The 20644-nt window shown below is 36.9% G+C and overlaps 1 protein-coding gene across 3 annotated transcripts in view; it reads left to right on the top strand.

The window, feature by feature from the left end:
* AMMECR1 (AMMECR nuclear protein 1) overlaps positions 1-20122 on the top strand; it is a 246048-nt gene extending 225926 nt beyond the window's left edge. For all 3 annotated transcript variants that reach the window (NM_001171689.2, NM_001025580.2, NM_015365.3), the window contains 3 exons: positions 11772-11862; positions 13258-13354; positions 15674-20122. In NM_001171689.2, coding sequence (NP_001165160.1) covers positions 11772-11862; positions 13258-13354; positions 15674-15788 — 303 coding nt within the window. In that variant the 3' untranslated portion in view covers positions 15789-20122. The remainder of the gene's footprint in view (positions 1-11771; positions 11863-13257; positions 13355-15673) is intronic.

Here is a 20644-nt window from a genome sequence, read left to right as displayed (position 1 = left end):
TATTAGTTCCCTATTGAAGCAAAAAATACACTTTTTTTTTTTTTCGAGACAGAGTCTCGCTCAGTCGCCCAGGCTGGACTGCAGTGGCGTGATCTCAGTACACTGCAAGCTCCGCCTCCTGGGTTCACGCCATTCTCCTGCCTCAGCCTCCTGAGTAGCTGGGACTACAGGCGCCCACCACTATGACTGGCTAATTTTTTGTATTTTTAGTAGAGATGGGGTTTCACCGTGTTATCCAGGATGGTCTCGATCTCCTGACCTCGTGATCCACCCACCTCGGCCTCCCAAAGTGCTGGGATTACAGGCGTGAGCCACCGTGCCTGGCCCCCATTTTTTTTTTTTACTTTTAATATACAAGTATTTGAAAGTGAATTAGTTACTGTTAGAATGGCTATGCTAAGAGGAAAAGCCCATCCTTTTCAGTTAGTTCATCATTGTTTCAGGTATTTGGCAGAAGAGAAATTTGTATACAACGAATAAGGGTGGAAATTATATTTTTAAGTACAAGAATGTGATTTGGTCTTAAAAAAATATGTACCTTACTCAGTGATTGAAAATGGAGTAATAGTATTGTGGGAATGATATTCTAAGGGTTATCCTTAATGATTCTGAAAAAGCATTACTAAACACAGAATGCCAAAATGGAATTAAAGGCATTAAAAAATTATACGTTGACACAATTTCACTTCTAGGTATATACCCAAAAGAATTGAAGTGTTGAAACAAAAACTTGTGCATGAATGTTCATAACAGCACTGTTCACAATAGCCAGAAGGTGGAAACATCCCAAATGTTTATCAACAGATGAATGGATAAATAGAATATGTTATATTCATACAATTGAACATTACTCAGCCATAAAAAGAAGTGAAATACATGCTACAACATGAATGAACCATGAATACATTATGCTAAGTGAAAGAAGTGAAACACAGAAAGCCACATTCCGTATGACTCCATTTATGTGAGATATCCAGAATGAGCAAATCCATAGAGATAGAAAGCAGATTAATAGTTGCTAGGGGCTAGGGGGAGGGGTAAATGGGAAGTGACTACTTAATGGTACAGGGTTGCCATTTGGAGTGGTGAGAAAGTTCTGGAACCAGATAGTGGTGGTGGTTGTACAATATTGTGAATGTATTTAATACCACTGAATTGTACACTTTAAAATTGTTAAAATGGCAAATTTTATGTGTATTTTACTACAATAAAAATGGAAAATAAACTTTATACATATATTCTGTTCATAATAGCAATTTTAACTTATCAAAGAAGAAAATTTTTTAAATTAAAAACATATAATGAGAGAAATGTGAGTCATTTATAATTACACCATTCTGAGAATAACTACTGTTAACATTTTGGAATATTTCTTTCCATTATCTTTTATATATTATACTAAGACTTTTTAAAATTTTTTTTCCATTCTTTATCTGTCTTTGTATCAATAAATCTGAATATTTGGTTACATAACAGATCATATTGAATATGCAATCACTATTTAAAAGATTGTGGGGAAGTCTTTATGGTTTATCTTTGTATATAAGTAAATTATATTTTGAATTTCCTTTTTGAGAAGTCAGTCTATATTATGAAAGTATATGCTTCACGAGAATTTTCACACTAATAGGTACAACTTTTCTTCCAAGAAAAAATATCCTATTCACCATAAGTATGCAATTTTAACCTGAAATGTGAAGTCCTGTGTATGTTTATGCCACAGGGGAAAACAAGGAGATTATTACAGAATTTTAATACAGAATGTTAAAGTTGAAGATAGATAATGAGCATGTTTTATACAAACAGAAGCTTCTAACGTAGCACTTTTCTGGTGGAAGTACAGTTTGAGAATTGACCCCCACTGGTTAAGTGTGTTACTGCAGTGGAATTCCTAATTAAAGGGATGAAAATGCCCAGATTAAAGCAGGAAGAGGGCAAAGTCTAGAAGTCCCAAAGCATAGAGGTAGATATCTTCGCTACCAAGACAGATATCCCTGTGGTCATGAGGATGAGGAACGTGACCACGATCAGTGGTAATAGCCACCCAGTTTTCAGATGATCAGGAAACAAATGAATTGCCACGCGTCTGGCTACCATCTTACTGTCTTTTTCATGCAAGGTTTTTAACTCGGTCTATTTGGGAACTTTCTTCTGATAACATGTCTCTAATTTTATAATGGAAGTTAGTAGGAAAGTAGGATTTACTTTAGACCTTGTTTTAGGAGCTAGAGTGCTTCTGTTTGATAATGTGAGGGATGTTTGACAAATGGTTTTACAAATGGCTGTAACTAATTTCAAGTCAATATTGAATTGACAGACTAATCAATAATGCTTCCATATGTTCTATTTCCTCAGAATAGTAATTATAACATTTAAAATAAGTGTTTATGGGTAGCCTCTGAAGGAATCTGGGCAGTCATTAAAAATAACAGCCATCCACAAAAGGCAGTAAGGACAAATTAGAGCAGTGGCCCCACCCTTCCAAGAATAACTGATCATTGCCCACATCATGATGTACTTATTGTCCTAGTAGGTATGAGAAGGATGAAGAGTGAATAATTTGAGGAAAAATTTCATTAGCTGATAAATTGGAATGTCTACCTGCAAGGCTAAAATGGTTGTTAAATGAGGAAAATTGCTCCCCTAGATAAATCTGACATGATATGCTTTGTGTTTGAACACGGAAACTCATCACCATTGTTCTGTGTTCTTCAGTTGACATCATTTTCTTAATTCTGAATGACAGGGTGATTGACAGACATGGTGCTTTGTAAAGAAAGAAAAACTCATGCAGCATGTTGGAGCCTGCCAAAATGACATAGCCTGGAACTTGTAGAGTTAAACTGTTTGGGAGCCATGTTTCCTTTTTAAAAATCTGAAAGGATATAAAACCAGACATTACAATGGACTGGAGCTTGACTTGAGGGGTGATTCTATGTGTGTCACCTCATAGGTGCTCATTTTCAGGATGATATAAATGAATAAACTTTTTGTTTGTAGAAGAATTCGTATAGCAAGTATGTTACCAGTGATTTTGTGGAAGCTAATGTAGCAATTTGCTGACAGAAGTCAAAATATTTTCTAAATTGTAATCAAGCGTCTTTTACTTCTGTGCTTTAGAGACAAGATCACTTGAAGGCATGAAGTAAAAATATTCTCTGTATTCTAAAGTAACTCCTTAGATCAGATTTCAAAAGATTAATGACATTTTCACAAACCATTAGTCACTTTCTCCTATATCTGGCTACCTGGATCACTGGTATCTCACTTTTTCTATACAGCTGTCACCTGGGCAATACATTGTGGTCCCAAGACAGACTGTTCCATTGGAGCACACAATACGTACATGGAATCAACCCATGCTGGGTGGGGCTGGCCAGCACAGTTATTGTATGATGCCAAAAATCTGTCCCTGGACTATAAAGCTATACCTCAGGCCCCTGATCTCACTCTGTCCCTAAAGTACCAAAGCATCTGTCATTGTATTTGAGCCTCGTTGGACTCCTGGTACTCAGAAAGCTGTGTTTCACTTTAAAAGCAACCTCCAAGGCACACCTCTTGAGTGATCACAGCTCAATTCTGACGTGTTCAGTTGCAGTTAATAATAGGGTGCTTTTGTAACAACCTTCGTGAGAGTAAACAGATGAGATGAATAAATTGGCTACTGTCATTATCTCCCACATATTTTAGAAGTTAATGTTCTTTTCACCCTCACTCCCCCCTTAAAGGTTTACATTTTTTAGCTCCTCTTAATGTGCCATTGAAAACAGAGTTCCCATTCATACACAGATGGTAAGCATGACTCATGAAGTCACCCAGCGAAATGACTTCTGGTTGTATATGTTATGTTTCCCCTCTTGGTTAGTTTTTCCCAACTATGATATACATCATGTTTTTTCTCTCTTCTAACTTAAAAAATATGAGCTTCATATATCCAGGAAAATGCTTTTCACAGTACATATTTTCCCAGGGACGTTGAGTTTTTTTATAAGATGTCACTATCATTAAGATTAGTCCTTTCTTGATGCTCTACTTTAAATGTTTTTTTTTTTTTTAAGTGCCGTGGAGTGTTGGGAAAGGAAGGCTTCAGGCTTCCTGGCCATCTAGAAAGAGTTTGCTGTGCATCAACAAGTCAATGTATAAGAAGCCTAGTGGGGAAGCAAGCTGTACAAAGTAAAGTAACTTCTTAGAAGGTGATTTAATGCATACAAATTTCCATTAGCTGTTGGTTCTCTTAGCAAAATGCGCTGCTGATTAGTCCCTTCTCAGGCCGCCTCAAGTTGTCTCCAGTTTTACTCGCAGCATGTTTATTGGTTGGAGGAAGTTAGCCTGCTGCTTCCCCAGAATTCCATAAACTCCCTGCCCCTTCCCTAGTACTTTTGTTATAGCTATTATTTCATGTATGATTTGCCTGTGTGTGTGTGTGTGTGTGTGTCCCCAGCATTTAATTAAAAGAATGCTGAATTTTGGGAATAAGGAGACCTGGGTTCTGTTCCTGACTGCCACTGCCCAGCTCTGTGAGCTTTCTGGGCCTCAGTTTCTTCAGGAACCTGAAGAAGTTGGACTAAGTGATACCTAAGATCTCTTTGGACTCTGACAGAATATGATTCTGTGACATACTCCTTTTTAAAAGATGGCTTCTGTTTCATTGTCCAGAGAATGAATCACCACTAGCCATTTAGAAGTCTTAAGAAGAGGTCCCTAACTTTCAAAGTGGCCATTGCCAAGTTAAATGTAGGCAACAAACGTGAAAAACAGTCCAGTTTTTAAGTTGTACCTTCTAGATTTCCTGTTCACAAAAAGAATTCCCTTGAGGAAGAAAAATGCTCTAAGCCATTAATGTCTCCATTTAATTACTGTATCATCCTGTTTTAAGTCAACATTATATATTTAAGTCTAAATTAGGCAAATACATTAGGGAGCGATTCACTTTATGAATACGTATTTTGCTTTGTAGAAGAACTCACTATAGAATGTTATTGTTTTCCTCTTGACTTTAAGATTAATTCATTTATGTAAACTCAACCCACATGTAACTTTTTAGGAACAAATTTCTTTTGTAGACTAAGTTAAACTGTATTGAGTCAGATACTCAATGTACAGTTCTAATGAATACAATTTTATTTTTCTTAATTTCTTATTAGGCAAACAGCATTATTTCATATTAGGCATGTTTGCTAGGAGGTGATTTCTTCCCCCCGCCCACCCTGTCCCCACTAGCCTTTGGAAAGTAAACTAAGTCACATCTCTAGGTTTTGAGAAAATTTTATAACTTTAGTTTTCTTGTCTGTAAATTCACTCCCTTATTCCCTTTTTTAAGAAATGGAAGGAATGCATTTTTCTAACTTTGATAGAAAGCACGCTTTTTATTTAAAGGTCACCTGTGCTGCCTGAACATTTCTTGGGAAGCTTTAGGATGTTAAGTTTTTATGGGATGCTCATTATAATTAATCATTACAGAGAATTGGGGGTTTTTTCCCCTTAATTGCACTCTGAGCTGTCACTTGTTCTCTGCAAAATCTTAGAGTAAGATCAATTTCCTTCATTGCAAAAGATATATAAACATGTTTGGCTTCAGAGTTTTTCAAAGCACCTCTTCATTAGCCATACTTTATTTAAAATTTTACTAAAATTTCATGGTGACTATTAGAGAGATCAGGTATTTTAAAGCTGTGTGTCAGCTATTAAAATAAATGTTACCAGATCGTTGTTCAGTGGCTTTTGTGAAATAAGTTGGCAGGCTTTTGTTCCTGATAGACAAGTAGTCTGTCTCCTACATAAATCAAAATTGGCCCTAATTAGTCCTTTGGTAAGCTCTGTAAAAGCCAAGAATTGGTTCATGGAGACTGAACTAATATCTAAGCCAAAGGTGACTAATCTGCAGGGATTTTAAAGAAGAGCAACACATATGTATTTTGGTCAAGGGGACCTTTTTCATAAAGTAACAACTGAGAAAAAAAGAAAAACTTCAGCTGAGACAGATGATGAAGCAGAGGTTTTATAGTAGAGTACGTTAAAAGGTTAGTCATGCTCAGGTGATGACTTTGTAATCAATTATCCTTTTTGATTCATGTTTCTGGTATTCTGCTTCTAAACGCATCTCAAAGGATATTTGAAAATAAAGACAGGTATAGGAACTGGTCAGATAATGTATAAAAACAGCCTAAAATATAGTCTGTGGTGGTATCTCAGTTGGTTCAGGAGAAAAATAATTTTTACGTCACTAAGATAAGAGTTATCTCTAGTCGGATGGTACTAGGATTACAGGCCATCTTTATTTTCTCCTTTATGCTTTCCTAAAAGGATGCTTTATTTGTTTGTTTGTTTGTTTGTTTTTTAGAGACAGAGTCTTGCTCTGTTGTCGAGGCTGGTCTCAGACTCCTGGCTTCAAGTGATCCTCCTGCCTCAGCCTCCCAAGTAGCTGGGACAACAGGCTCGAGCCACTCTGCCTGGCTCTAAAGGGAATTTTTTTGTAAGACATATGTCCTCCTTTTATAAACCAGAAAAAAAGATGCATGTTTACAGTTTCTAAGGTTTACAAGAGTAAATAATACTCAGCAAAAACAAAAGCTGAATCGCAGCAACATTGTTATAAAAATTTACAATTTGGCCAGATTATGAAGGGATCATGTTAGATAGATATGTACCTTCAGAACTCCAGAATTGCTTTTCAAATTGGTGGTCAGGTTGAAGTGATGCAGAGTAACAACTGTGAGGATTTGATGGGCAGATCGAGATAATATGTCATCTAAATTTTTTTTTTTGGTAGTATCAGATTTGGGGAAAGTGGTTCATTAGGATCTGTACAAATCCTTATCAGCTTCTATGATTAAATTCTTAACTTTTCTAGCTCAAAGAATTATCCAAGAGAAACTTGGAGTAGGCCTAAGTTCGAAGTATTTTTCTCTTTTATGTTGAATTTGCTTTCACTAGGAAAAGGAAGAGTTTCTGTTTTCAAAAGGCTAAGCTGGAGTAGTAGGGCAGAAGGAACTGTGGGGCAATAAGTTCAAGAGTGGACCATGCTGCACCATGAGTTTTGTGCTGTTAGGAGATATAGCACATAGTTTTTTCCTCCTAAGAATGTCAGAAACACCAGACTCTGGGTCAGACCCATGGACTGTCCAATACAGTGTTTGTTTCTGGCTGTGGTACCCAGGGTTGTTTTGTGAGAGAGCATGCATTCCTTCTGTGATACCAGCCTCTAAAGGTTAGGGGGTGTGCCAAACATCCTGAGCTCCTCTCATTAGGAACAGTGTCCTTTCATTCACTTCAATTGGACTGGCATATTGAGCGTGGCAGGTCAGTCTTATGTGAATGGCCAGTAACTGGATGCTTTGTTAATTGCAAAGCATATTTTGCCAAATGATTTCATCCAAAAAGACATGTCAAACAACTTTCGATTCTTTGACCTCCTGATATTTCTTATGCTATTCAGATGAACTCACTGAAAATGAGTAGAGTAAGCCATGGCCATATTATTACAGGGAAACCCAGCATTTGGTTCTGAAAATGGGGAAGAATGGGACTGACCATGGTATTTGCTAAAACAGGATGCCACCCAAGGTAGTAGAGTGATTCTGTTGGCCAGGATGTAATTGGGAAGATTTAGCTTTGAGGGTCAGGACTATGGAGATAATTGTGGACCCAAACTGTCAGAAGTTTACATGGAGGCTACTCAACTTAGCCAGAGCACATTTTATACTCATTTATGCTTTTAGCCAGATGACTCTTTTTCATGTTTTAGCATATTCAGATTGTTGGCTTGCTGACAAGGCTCACAAGTAAAAGTGAGACTCTTTTGTAGTGCTGCTTGTGGATCACAAGGCTAACACTTGCCTTATTAGACAGACTAGGGTATATTAAGCTTTGACTGTGCAATTACAAGGAATATAATATGGGAGAAGGTACTTTTAAAAAATGCTCTTGTGTTGAGGGTCACTGCATTAGAGGATAATAGTTTTAAATGAAGCCACATTTCTAACACGGGACTAGATAACAAGGATAAATGAAATCTGCAGACAGTCTCAAAGCTTAATTTTAGCCATTATTTATAATCTCTTCTCCTACCAAACCTTTTACTGTGTAGCAAAATTGATTAATTTGTGTGTACCTCTTCTTTCTGTGACCACGTGCTATCTGATAGAGGAGTGAAAAAATAGAGAAATGGACAAGAGACGAAAGAGGATGGGGCTGAGGCCAGGTGGAGCTGGGGATGCATAATCCCTAAACTGGATAATCAACCCCAGAATAATCAAGATATATTTTAGGGTCTTAACATTAATCTTGATATTTAATCATTCTGAACAATGTTAAAAACAAAAGATTGTATAATAGCATTAATAAAAATCACTTGCTATGGAATGGTTCAGAATAAATATGGCTTTCTTTTTAGCATGAAATATGAATCCGTTGAACTGGTCTTAATGTTCTATCAGCACACACAGATACAGCTCTGCTTAATTCCATATCCTCTTATCTATAAGTCCTACATTTAATTTACTACCATTGGGGTTGATTTTTAGCTTTGCTTAGCAAAAGTAGTCTTGATTAAAAGAATATTATCGCAACTGATGGACCTCGAAAGCATTTTTTTCATAGACCATCTAGTAATTTTGAAAATGACCTGCAGACCCATAAGGCTAGATTTGCAAGTTTCCAGTTTGTACCCACCTGGCTGTACTTCAAACAGTGGCAGGATTAGTTAGGGGTATGTTTAGTGACATAGTATTCCCACATGCTGCCCCCTCATCCATACGTAGAAAGTTACCGTGGTAGTGTTTTAAAGATCTGCTTCGGGGAATCCCAGTTCCCTGGTTCGCTGATCTTTTATCTAGTTTATAATTGCAACTATAGCCTTTGTCTCTTGGGATGTTGCTGGGCCAGAGGATTCTCCAATATGTATAAGGGAAGATTCAATTATGCATGAGGGTTACATTTTGGAGTTGTAGCTGTGACAGATGCCTCCCTGAAACAATATGGAATTAGTTTTGGTGCTCATTTCATTGCAAAGCCAGTGATTTCCACAGGTTGGCCAGAATTGGTCATTCTCCACAGCAGGCCATGTTCTCCTTCTCCTGTTTTGATTGTTCAGTATGACTATTTAGTGGCTTGTGGTTCTAGGAGTAAAGAAAATGCTGTTGCTCAAGAGGTAACAGAAAGAAAGCTACTATGATTTTGTTAAGAACATTATTACCATTCTCCTAATTCTACTAGCTGAAAAAAATGAGTCACTCTGGTTTGGGCTTTGTAGCTTTGTGGGAGTATTTTTGACCTATGAAAAAAGTTCATAAAAAGAATTCACTTTAAAACCACTATACTTACAGTTCAATTTACAGGGGCTTTCAATTGTTCAGAGTCATAGGAACCCAGAAAAGAATTAAAAGTTGTAAATGTGGTACTAAATCAAAATTGGAGAATTTGGGGTTTTTTTCTTATCAAATTTGATGGTAGGACCTTCTCAAAATGCAGAGTAAATAAAGCAGTCTTATTCGTGAGTAATTTTTGTTTTGGCCAATATGTCCTTTGTATCCATACACACACAGCTTTATTGTGATACCATTCACATACCATACAATCAGTCTTAACTTCTTTTAATTATTAAATTACTAGACATTAAAAATCTGATATTTTTGTTCAAGAACACAGGATGTACTCCTATAAAGAAAGGACTTAAGTGTCTAAATTAACCCCATTTGCCTAAATCACTTTTAAAAATCTTAGTATGTAGCCACAGTTTGTCAGAACTAGAATGCTTATTAGAGGTTATCTAGTTCAATTAGAATAAAAATTACCTGGGGAGCTGTTCTTTTTCCAAAACGTATTTGTTGAAATTCTGATAAACTTTGCAGCCCCGCTCCCCACCCCTTGCCAGTTAAATATCATTAATTTTGTCTGACACTCTCATCTCACAGATAGGGAGACATTCTTCCTATCACAATTTTGACTAGACACCTTAATAAACACCAAAATTCTTTTCAATTTTAACATGACGGGTTTTTGATAAATAGAGTTGAAGATTCAAAATTCACTTCAGTGGATGATGGAGTATAAATTACTTATGCTGTGTATCTTTTAAAAAACAAATTATGAGGAATCTGATATTGTCAAAGGAAAAAAAAATTCAAAGCTACTGATCAGGAAGTCAGTATACAGGAAATTTTGCAAATTTGTCATTGTCTCATCAGGCACTGGAGAGATTAGTAGATGTCCTTTATCCTGGAAATGCCTGATAGCTAAGCGCTCATATTTCTTCTCAGCTATATACGTAGTTATTTCCCACACAGTATGGGAGGCAAGTATTGTGTTAGTTTTTAAACAGCTACCCTGGTCGCATTTTTAGCAGAAAGAGATTCGTAAGAGTACTGATATTAAATAGATAGAAGAAATAGCCAGAGATATGCTTTAATAAAAATAAAAAACCATAAATTCCTCAGAAGATCTGACAGGCTCTAATGGATAGATGTGTGAAGACCTGGGGAAAGATGAAATGGATTTTCCCAGAGGACTTTTTATTCCTGAAAAAATTGGAAAATTTGAGACTGGGGGTAGAAGAAGCAAAAGAAGTTTTCATTGACCCCCTTTCCTCTTCTAGACCTTTACATCCATACACATGGAAAGTATAAAGGTTTATGACTTTACTCACCTGCTCTGAAAAGAAGCCTCCATCTTGGGTAATAATGTTTACCTGGTCTTACATCTCCATTCCAGTACCTTGCACAACCTGACCCTCCACTTGGGAACCATTGATCTGAGGCAACCACAGATCCAAGAGAACAGAATGGTGTCATTATGCTTTTGAAATTTCGTTTTTATTATCAATGTTCACAAAGAAGTTAAGAACTTTTAATTTTGATCTTTAGCTCTGTATACTATTCTATGTGAGATATGAGGGGAAAGGACAGATTTCTTTCAATCATATGCTAATCAAAGGAAAAGCACATTATTAAAAAAAAATTAGCAAGAAATTGCTCACAGTTACTTAGAAGACTACCTTTTTAAGGGCATCACCACAAGCTTGTTTTACATTAAAAAGTTACAGTGGTCTCTGGGCTAGTATATAAAGAGACTGCAATAATGCACTACAGTGAAGTGATTTGAAATCTTTATTCTTAAATTTAGTAGAGCTGTGTGAAGACAATGGTGTAGATGGACAGTGAAGGTCTGCTACTACCCCACTCTAAGTCATAATGCATTTTTAAAGAAATGCTGTCTACACTGGGTGATGATGTAGGATCTGGTTGTTTTCATTATTAATTTTCAATCTTACCTGACTGTGTTTGCTTGCCTACGTATAATTTAATGTTTTAAACGGAGTAGACAGTTTGGGAGGGGATCAGCACCAAAAATTTTGGAACTTAATCAGAAGTGGTGAGTGTACCTGCAAAACAGGATGGTTGTTTGCTATCTCTTTGAAGTCAGTCACCTTTGTCTCTAGTTCTTTATTGGCATGAGCTACAATTTGGGAGTGGGGCAGGATTTTTGCCATCAACCGTCTTATTCTACAGACAGCTTCAGAATAGTTGTTCCAGTTTTCCAAACATAGTATCATAGCCTAGTGCATGTTGGGCACATGCAAATCAATATTTTCCCTCTCCGTGGCCATCATAATGGCCTTCAAATCCAAAGTCAAAGCTTTGGAAAGAGAAAACTTATACGTCCTTCTAAAAACAAAGGGAAAGGAAGAACTGCATTCTCTTGAAAGTTAAATTATAACCTTTTCTTTCTGATTCTATGAAGAAGACTGTACTAATAAAACTGCCAATTTCTTTCAGGTGGGTGTACATGGCATTAGAATAGAATTCATCAATGAAAAAGGATCAAAACGCACCGCCACCTACCTACCGGAGGTTGCAAAGGAGCAAGGTCATTGTTGTACTTTATTTCATATGATCTGGTGAAGAATTTAAACAAATATACAAACTGAAATGCGTTATCTGACCTTGCAGTTATGTCTAATAATTGAAGTGTCAAATTATAAGAAGTGACTCTTCCATCACTGCCACTGCAATGTCTGTATCAAGTCGGTGAAGTACTCACAGAAGTTGAATCCCTGCATTGAAGTTTGATGGCATAAACCCATAAGTGTATATTTTTTAAAAAGCAGAATTTATATTAGTTGGTTTTCATTTTAGGCAACAATTTGCTACCGATTTGAAATGCATTTTTCCCATATTCCATTGTGGCATAAACAAGCCTTTTGTTTGACAATCAGCCACATAGTTCTTTGTCATTTTAAGTATCAAATGTTTCATTCTTAGGTGGTTGCCATTACTCATCCTGCTGATACTAAGATTCTAGGTTTCCCACTAAGATCAGAGGATTGCGAAAACATGAAGTGTTAGTGTTTTATATGCTTGGTCTACACTTCCTAATCAGAATTTTCCTGTTTCACACATAGAGCATAGACCTGTATGAACCAACATTGTAACACAAAGTAACTTTTCACTCTGTAGTATTTTATCCTTTCTTAGCAACTACTAAATTCTGGTTTCATGTTGGTCGAAATGAATCTTTTATCTTGGGGAGCTTTTCTTCTCATCAGAAAGCATTTGTAATTTGGTTTTCCCGTGTTTGTCTTATAAATGTGAGATACATAATAGCAAAATTAATGCCATTAAATCCCCAGATCAGAAAGTCTTCAAGGCAGTTACTTGAAGATTTATTTGGGTTGCTTTAGAAAATGTCTTAATCTCCTAGTATCATTAACTTTGTAAAGCATACATAAAAGATAGAGGGCCTCAGATACTAGTATACCATCCATGTCAGAACTAATCAAAATACCCTTGAATACTGCACACAAACTTGAATGATTACAGAATTACAGAAGATACCATAAGGAACAACAATTACTGTGAGGTGGTGTGGGAGTCCTAAATATTGACTTGGCAAAATGGCATATAGGCTTTTCACTCCCTTTTAAAGATGTCACTGTTAGAGGAAAGTACAACAGATATGGTTTGTTACAGTCATGACTGAGCAATTTCTGCCAGCCCCTTAGACCCCTTGACTTCGAATGCGAAGATAAAGGAGCCAGTGTTGTTTGGCATTGTGGATAGCTAGAATTTAAGGAGTGTGGTGATGACCCTGCTTTTGTAAAGGATGAAATCTTAGCTTTTCTGTGTGATTGTTTTTAGGACCAAAAGATTTGATGGCATTTGGTGACAGTGATAGCTGACCTCTACAAAGTCATTTTGTATTTAATGAAAGGTGTTTGTTACATGTGCTTGACTGATATTTTATCTGGTCATCTCTCTACAGGATGGGACCATATACAGACCATAGACTCCTTATTGAGGAAAGGAGGATACAAAGCTCCGATTACTAATGAATTCAGGAAAACCATAAAACTGACCAGGTACAGAAGACATTTTCTAGCACAAGGCTAACCTGTACATTTTGATGTGTATGCCTATAACCCTTTGATTTCTTTGGTCTCTCTAACTACACTTCTTTTTTCTGAAACAGAGTGGAAATGAATGGCAGGGTCATACTGAGGGTGGATACAATGGAACTCTGCTTCGTAGTAAAGCCTGTGTGATGTATGAGCCTATCTTTCCCATCTTTAGCTCTGTGTGATTACTCTGGCTTTTGTACGAGCAAGCCCTTGGAGATTTTAGACTACTTTATTGGAGAAAGTACTTGAATTAGCAATTGGCTAGCTTTTGACATTACTGAGCAGAACCCCAGGATTCTGATAAACAGTCCTCAAATTCGAATTTAATCTCAGAATTTTGGCAGTGATAGAAGTCTACCAAGAAAACTTGTTAGCTTGCTGAAAAACACAATTGAGCTAAACTCAAATGCTAAATAAATTTCAGCATGAAAAAATAGGGATGCTTATTTAAAAAGGAAAATACCGTACATTTTAGGAAAATGGGCTGCTGGTTCCATTTATTTCAATTCCATAAAACTACATTGAATGCTTATAGTCTAAAAATGGCCTATTCTCAGCTCTGAGGAGTTACAAATTCAGAAATACCTCCATCTCTGCTCTCCCTGAGTTCACAGTGGAGGAGAATAGAAGGGGCATGGACAAAATTATTAATCTAAGGCAGAATATGATGGATAATATGAGATCCATTCCCATAAAGTAGGGAAAGAGGAATTCTAAGAGGGTGGGAGGGGGATAACAGATAGTTTCAAAGAGGTCAGCTGGGGGCTGGGTTTGAAGAATGGATAGAATATTTGACAGGTAAAAAGGGATTTTTTTTTGACAGGAGGAAAGTGATTCCCTTAAGGAAGACCTTGTGAGTCAAGGGTGGTGAAGTACAAAGCAAGTTCTGAGAATATGAAATAGTCTGATTGGGCTGGTCTTTTAGTGTAATAGAGAAGCTGATCATTAGAGGAAAATATGGCCCAGAAGGTAGGTTGGGCAGACCATTGAGGGTCCTGAGTTCCAGAGTAATTAGTTTGGACCTGGTTCTATAGGCAATTGGTAGCTATTGAAGGATTTTAATCAGATGGGCTTGGGGAGGTATAAGAATGGAATTGGAAACAGGAAAATGAGCCAGGAAGCGTTGGTATTATCTAAGAATCTGTGGCAGCAGTCCAAAAGAGGTGCAACAGGGGCCTTAACTAGAGCTGTGGCAGTGAGATGGGAAGAAAGGTTGGGATCGATATGAAAATAATGTGGAAGAAATGAAAGGACTGGGTCATCATTTAGAAATAAAGAAGAAAGTCAAGGCGTTAATCTAGATAAAAGGGACCAAGGTAATCCCTTTAATCAAAGTAGGGACCACAAGAGGAGTGTGTTAAGTTTATGCATCGATTTTGGATTTGAGGTGCTTCTTAGGATATCTATATAGAAATATCTAGTAGGTCAATGAAAATGTATGAGCTCATGGCTAGATATGATTGAAATTGTAAGGATAGGGTTCACTGTGGGGGGACAGTATAGAGTCAAAATAACTGAATACAGAAACATAACAAAATTCTACAAGGCAGGGATAGGAGCATTCAGAGACAAGGAGCAATCTGAGAGGCAGGGGAGAACCAGGGGCATGTGGAGGTATAGAATCCTTAGCACCAGAGAGCTTAAGGGCATGATGGGCAAATGGAAAGATCAAGCTGAGTCAGGGGAAGCCTTCTGATGGCTATTTCCATGGAAGGGTGGCAGCAGAAGCCAAGGAGCACTGAGCTGAGTAGTAGTGTGAGATGGGGATTGAAGGCAGAAAATACACACAACTATTTGAGAAATGTGGCAATGAAAAGAAAGCCAGACATGGGGAAAAGTGAGAGTTCAGGATACCAGAATTAAGAAAAGTTGTTTTTGTTGTTGTTACTTAATGGTAAGACCTAAGTAGATGTGTGGACAGAGAAAGGAACAGTAAAAGAGGGAGAGGTGGAAGATTTCTGAAGAAAAATAATCAACTGAATCGAATGAGATGCATACTCCTGTTAGAAAACTGGGGCTGAGGGGACAATAAAATTTTTAAAAGAACAATTTAAACAAGGAGTAGTAGAGTGCAAAGAGCACTGGACTCAGACTTTTGATTTCCAAGTTCTGATCTTAGCTTTGCTACTTACTATCTCTGTGACCTTGGGCAGTCACTGCTTCTCTCTGGGACCCCGTTTCCTGATCTATAAAATTATCTTTAAGGTCCTTCCTAGCAGTGACAATGGCATGTCACCTACTTCTCAATGTTAACTTTTCTCTTCCCTGACTTTCTTTCAGGTATCGTAGTGAAAAGATGACCCTGAGCTATGCTGAATACCTTGCTCATCGCCAGCATCATCATTTCCAAAATGGCATTGGGCATCCCCTTCCGCCATACAACCATTATTCCTGACACTGAGCCGCACAACCAGTCACTGGGCCTCTCTGCAGACCTCTTCCCAGGAGACCCTACACCTTCTTGGTCTAGCTATCTCTTTTACTGTACCATTTTATGATGATAGTTTCCGTTGCCATGGTGAAGCTTCGACATCGTCAACTAAGATCATCATGGTAACGGGTAGAAAAATGGCATTTGTTAAGATCCTGTTTTATTATTTTAGATCGTTGATTTTTTTTTTGCAGCATATATAATTTTGGGTTTTTTTTTCCTTATAATATTATGTAGAATTTTGCTTTGCTGTCTCAGTCAGGTTTCTGTTTTTCTGTCCTCCTTGCCTTTCTTCCCGTTTTGCTTCCTGTTTTCCTTCTTCCTTCCCGTTTTCCTTCTTCCTTCCCTGCCTCCCTTCCTTTGACTGTGGATGGAAGAAAGTGTGCAGTTTTTAGGGATTTTACTTAGGTTCGTCTTTAGTTTTCCTCAGTAAGATAGTTGTTTTTTGATACCTGAGTTTGGGATTAATTCATATCAAATTCAGGTATTTGTATATTACTCTTGATTTTTGTCTGAAATTCACTTTGCTATGACAGCCTAGTAGTTGGGTCTTCACTCCTTAAGTATATGTTTTTCCCATGGTGAAAATACATGAACTTTAGTTCTAGTAGTGAGCATTCAAAGGTCCGTGATAGGGCTTGTCACAGAGAGAGAGAAATCATTTATCCCTATTGTGCTGGTTATCATAGAAGAGACTGCCTCACCACTTTATAGAACCAATTTGCAAACTAAAACACTGTTTGGAGAAGGTACAAACTACCTTTCAAAAAGGCTACAGGAAACATTTTATGAGCAGCAAATATTAGGAAGAGAGCAGATACAGAATTTAGTGCCTTTGAGAAGAATATAATTAAGTGGAATTAAGAGGGGTTAGAAAAAAGGCAATTTAGAAAAATATTCTTGTAAAACTTTATTGTTTCTATATGTGAAACAGAAGATTAGACAAATTCCTTACTCTTAAGTATTTTTTTAAGCTGAAAAAAAATTATTTTGAGCAAATAACCAATAAGAGACATTTGTCTATTTTATATTAATTTAAATTTGTTAGCTCTAGGTTTCAATAAGTCATGATTGGCTAGAATCCATTTTAGCTACCATCTAAAGATATGGTAAAGATAATTTAGTAAAACAAAAGTTCATATTTGCCATGATTTCAGATATGTTTGTCATGGGGACAATATTAGAGTTTTAGAGATACTATAAAATAGCTTGAATTTCTTTCTGCACTACATACTTTTGATAGAAACACATTTACTACATTGATAAGATGTTATGTCACACCTGTGAAAATGGAGTTGGCATTCAGATATGCTATAGTTAGAGCCCAGCTCATCTGCAAGTATAGTCTTCCCATGATGCATACAAAGATAACTTACTGATGTCGATAGGAGGTCCATACATATATCCCCAGGAAAAATGACAGATTATTCTGGAGGAAGATGACCTTCATTTTATGGTTATGTGTGTGTGTCTGTGTGTCTTTGGAAAAATATATATAATTTTTTCAAATAGGAAGCCAACATATCAAGTGATGAATTAAAGTATGCTGCAGAATATATATTCTAAAACTACAAAAAAGTCACTGAATATCAAAATGATACAGCTTATACATATAGTTACTGTGACAAGTGACAGACTGCTAGTTCAGAATTCAAAAATCCTTTCCTAGTTTGTGAGATAATGGGCTAAATTCCTTCTGCCTGCCACTGGGGCAAAGCAAATTGCTTTAGTTTTTGATGAGAGTTCTTAGAAGTTTGTTGGTATTCCTTCATCCACAGCATCCATTGTTGAAATAACCATTTTCAGTTGTGATGCCTTAACTAAGAAGCCAATTGTTAGCCTGAAATGCAATCTTGGTAGCCAGTTTCAATGAAGCTAGAGATTAGTCAGAAAAAGTTAGCTGTTGGGCTTTAGAAAGGGATTTTGAGTCCTGTCATTTCTACTTGGGAGCATTTTGGAGCAGATTAGTCTTTCAGTATAAAAACAAGTGGCTACCTGATGGAAACTTTTCTTACCCTTATAGGGAAACTGAGCACAAGCTGAATGATATTGTCTGCTGCAAAAAAAAACAAACAAAAAAAAAACAAAACAAAAAACAAAAAAAAGGAAAAAAAGGTAAATAAAACAAGCAAACTGAAGAGAGACAAAATAGACCAATATTATCGTGAAATCCATCTTATCCATCATCTCATCGGTTCAACAGGCTCCTCGTCCTGGGTGAGCTTATGGTTAGAAGTTTTTTTAGCAAAGATTTATTACATACATAGATGTGTGTGTGTACATATACTTACACATACATACATACATATATGTGTGTTTATTTAACGGTGCTAATCAATCTTGAGCAGGTCACGTGACTGGTCATGCGGACTCTAAAATCATATCAGATTTTTTAAAATCCTTGATATATGCAGATGTTATACAGATTTTCTTAGCAGTGTAATAACGTTAAACTGAAGAAATAACCATCCTGCAGGCTTCAAAGGACGAGGTCAGCAATATTTCCCAACATGGCTTGGGGGAAAAGGATAGTTTTGTCTCCTTTTGTATTCAAGTAATGCAAAGTGCATTTTTGTCTCTAAGTAGCTTTTGACTAAAAGACTTTGTAGTGTAAAGGGTGTTATACAAACTGTAATGGTGTGCTTCAAACAAATGCTAGACCCTTTCACCTTTGTCGTATATACAAAGCTGTTAATTATGTGGTATGAATTAACTTTGAACATGTTGAAATATGTAGCATGTCTTTAACTCAGACGAAGATTCTGATTGCACAGGTTGTGTTCTAGCCAGTTGTGATTTATTTGTTCAGAAACACAAATGTGAATTGCACTCTTATCATCAGAATATTGTATGAGTTCAGTGATCTTTAAACAGCTCAGAAGTAATACTTGAACTTCATTTGAGTAGCACAAAGTTTACATAGCCCCTTTTAAATGTTAATTCGTTCCATTTAAGTTTTCCATTTTCAGATGCAACTGGGTATTTTTCCTCTTGGAAATAGTACGTACTTTGCTTTGGTATGTAGCAAAAGGCTTCCATTTCTGGAAGGGTTTTCTTGTTCTTAAACAAGGTCAGCCAGGTACCAGATTCTAAAAGAACAAATTGTCCCCCACCCCTCAAGTGGCCTTCTGACTGCACGAGAATGTGCTACTACCCTCTGTAGTCTCCCCTAACACGAGAGGTCAGTGAAATTGATGGAGGAAGTGCAAGGCTTGCTTCCCCTCACCCTTAAAGCTTAAAGCAGTTGTAAGATTTTCAGTCCAGCACATACAGTCCCAGTGCCCAGCACACCGGAAGTTTGTATACTGGCCTCTTATCTTGTCTTCAAATGTGCAGGAAATTTGAAACTGTCATCTGGAATAGGTTCCATCTCTTATGTGTGTTAGATCAAACCAAAGAAGCCCCCAGCCATGCCCAAATGCTGCTTCAAAAGCCTGCCTTCCAGTCCTTACAAAAACCTTGCAGGATTAAATGTGTTAACTTTTTTATTTTTGTACAGTTTCTAAGTGATTTTTGCTAGTGATGTTAAAATGAATTAAGTTTATTTGAGGGGTGTGAGCACCTCCTCCATTTAAATAAACTGGTGACTTTCCTTTTATTTTTTAAAAGTGGAAACCCGTTGTGTGCCTCTCGATTTAAGGGTTTCTGATGACATTATTCTTAAGACCAGCATTGATCCTTTATATACAAATATATGTTTTCCTTGTTTTTTATTGCTATTTCAGAAGAAAATGAACCTTTTATTTTGCTCTACCCAGTAACTGCGCTGGTACATAGACGCACTGAGCAAACAAACTTTTGTAACCACCTCTGACTACTTTTGTATATCAAAGTTGATTACTTTTGAAATATTTGGATCTAGTTTCTAAGTTATTTTAGTGTTTTATATGTTCCCCAAAATTACTTTGAATCTGTCACCAGCATAATGAGTTCTTGGTGATACAATGGTGAGACTTGTAATGAGCAAAAAGCTACCTGGAGTAGCTCCTCTTTTCCTTCTTTCTTAGTAACCTGTTTTTTGATTACCGTAAGACATCACAGATTACCTGAAACCCCTTCCAGTATAACTAGGCCCTCCTTCCTTCCACATTTAATTGCTTAATAGTTTGAAGAAACTATTGGAAATGGGCATTTTATATGACATGTATGGCTTTACAATATTAAATATGAGCAAAAAGAAAAAATATGAGAAGGTTTATGTGGGTCTGTAAGGTATGGCTGTGGAAAGATATTGTAGTAGTTTTGACACTATTGTTATTACCTTTAAAATCATTTACCCAATAAAATGTTAAAACCGAGTTATCATTTTATGTTTCTTTTTTAAGTTTAACCTCTCTCATCATAGGATCTTGGTCTCGTCGGTACTTCTTACTAAAAGGTTAACAGTTGAAGGCTCTGAAGGAATATAGTTAGGAACAGATACTGATTTATTGCCAAACTAGCACTTGGGAAACCTTACCTGCTTGTAGCCACTCCCTGCCATATGATTTGCCAATGTCATCCTTTTGTCTATCTCTGAATCCTGGCTTGCTGATATAGATTAGCCTTTATTTGGACACCCTAACCTGGCCACATTGATCCTTTAAGGATCCTTCAGATCCTTTGCCACAGAACTCAGGCAAATATCAGACTTGAATTCTGGCGGGAGCTTAGCTGTGCTTAGGTCCGCTCCAAATCAGTCAGTGGTTATTGGGCATTTCCTCTTTGTGAGCTGGTGAGGGGCAGTAGCAGTGCTATTCAGTTAAATCATCTGATATGGGGACCCCTTCTCCTACCATCAAGGCTTGCCCATTTTCTGAGTATAGGACAGAGTCTGAAAA

The sequence above is a fragment of the Homo sapiens genome, chromosome X (assembly GCF_000001405.40).
Source record: "Homo sapiens chromosome X, GRCh38.p14 Primary Assembly".
NCBI lineage: Eukaryota > Metazoa > Chordata > Mammalia > Primates > Hominidae > Homo > Homo sapiens.
The sequence above is the reverse complement of the archived record's forward strand: the minus strand, read 5'-3'. Positions and strand labels throughout refer to the sequence as shown.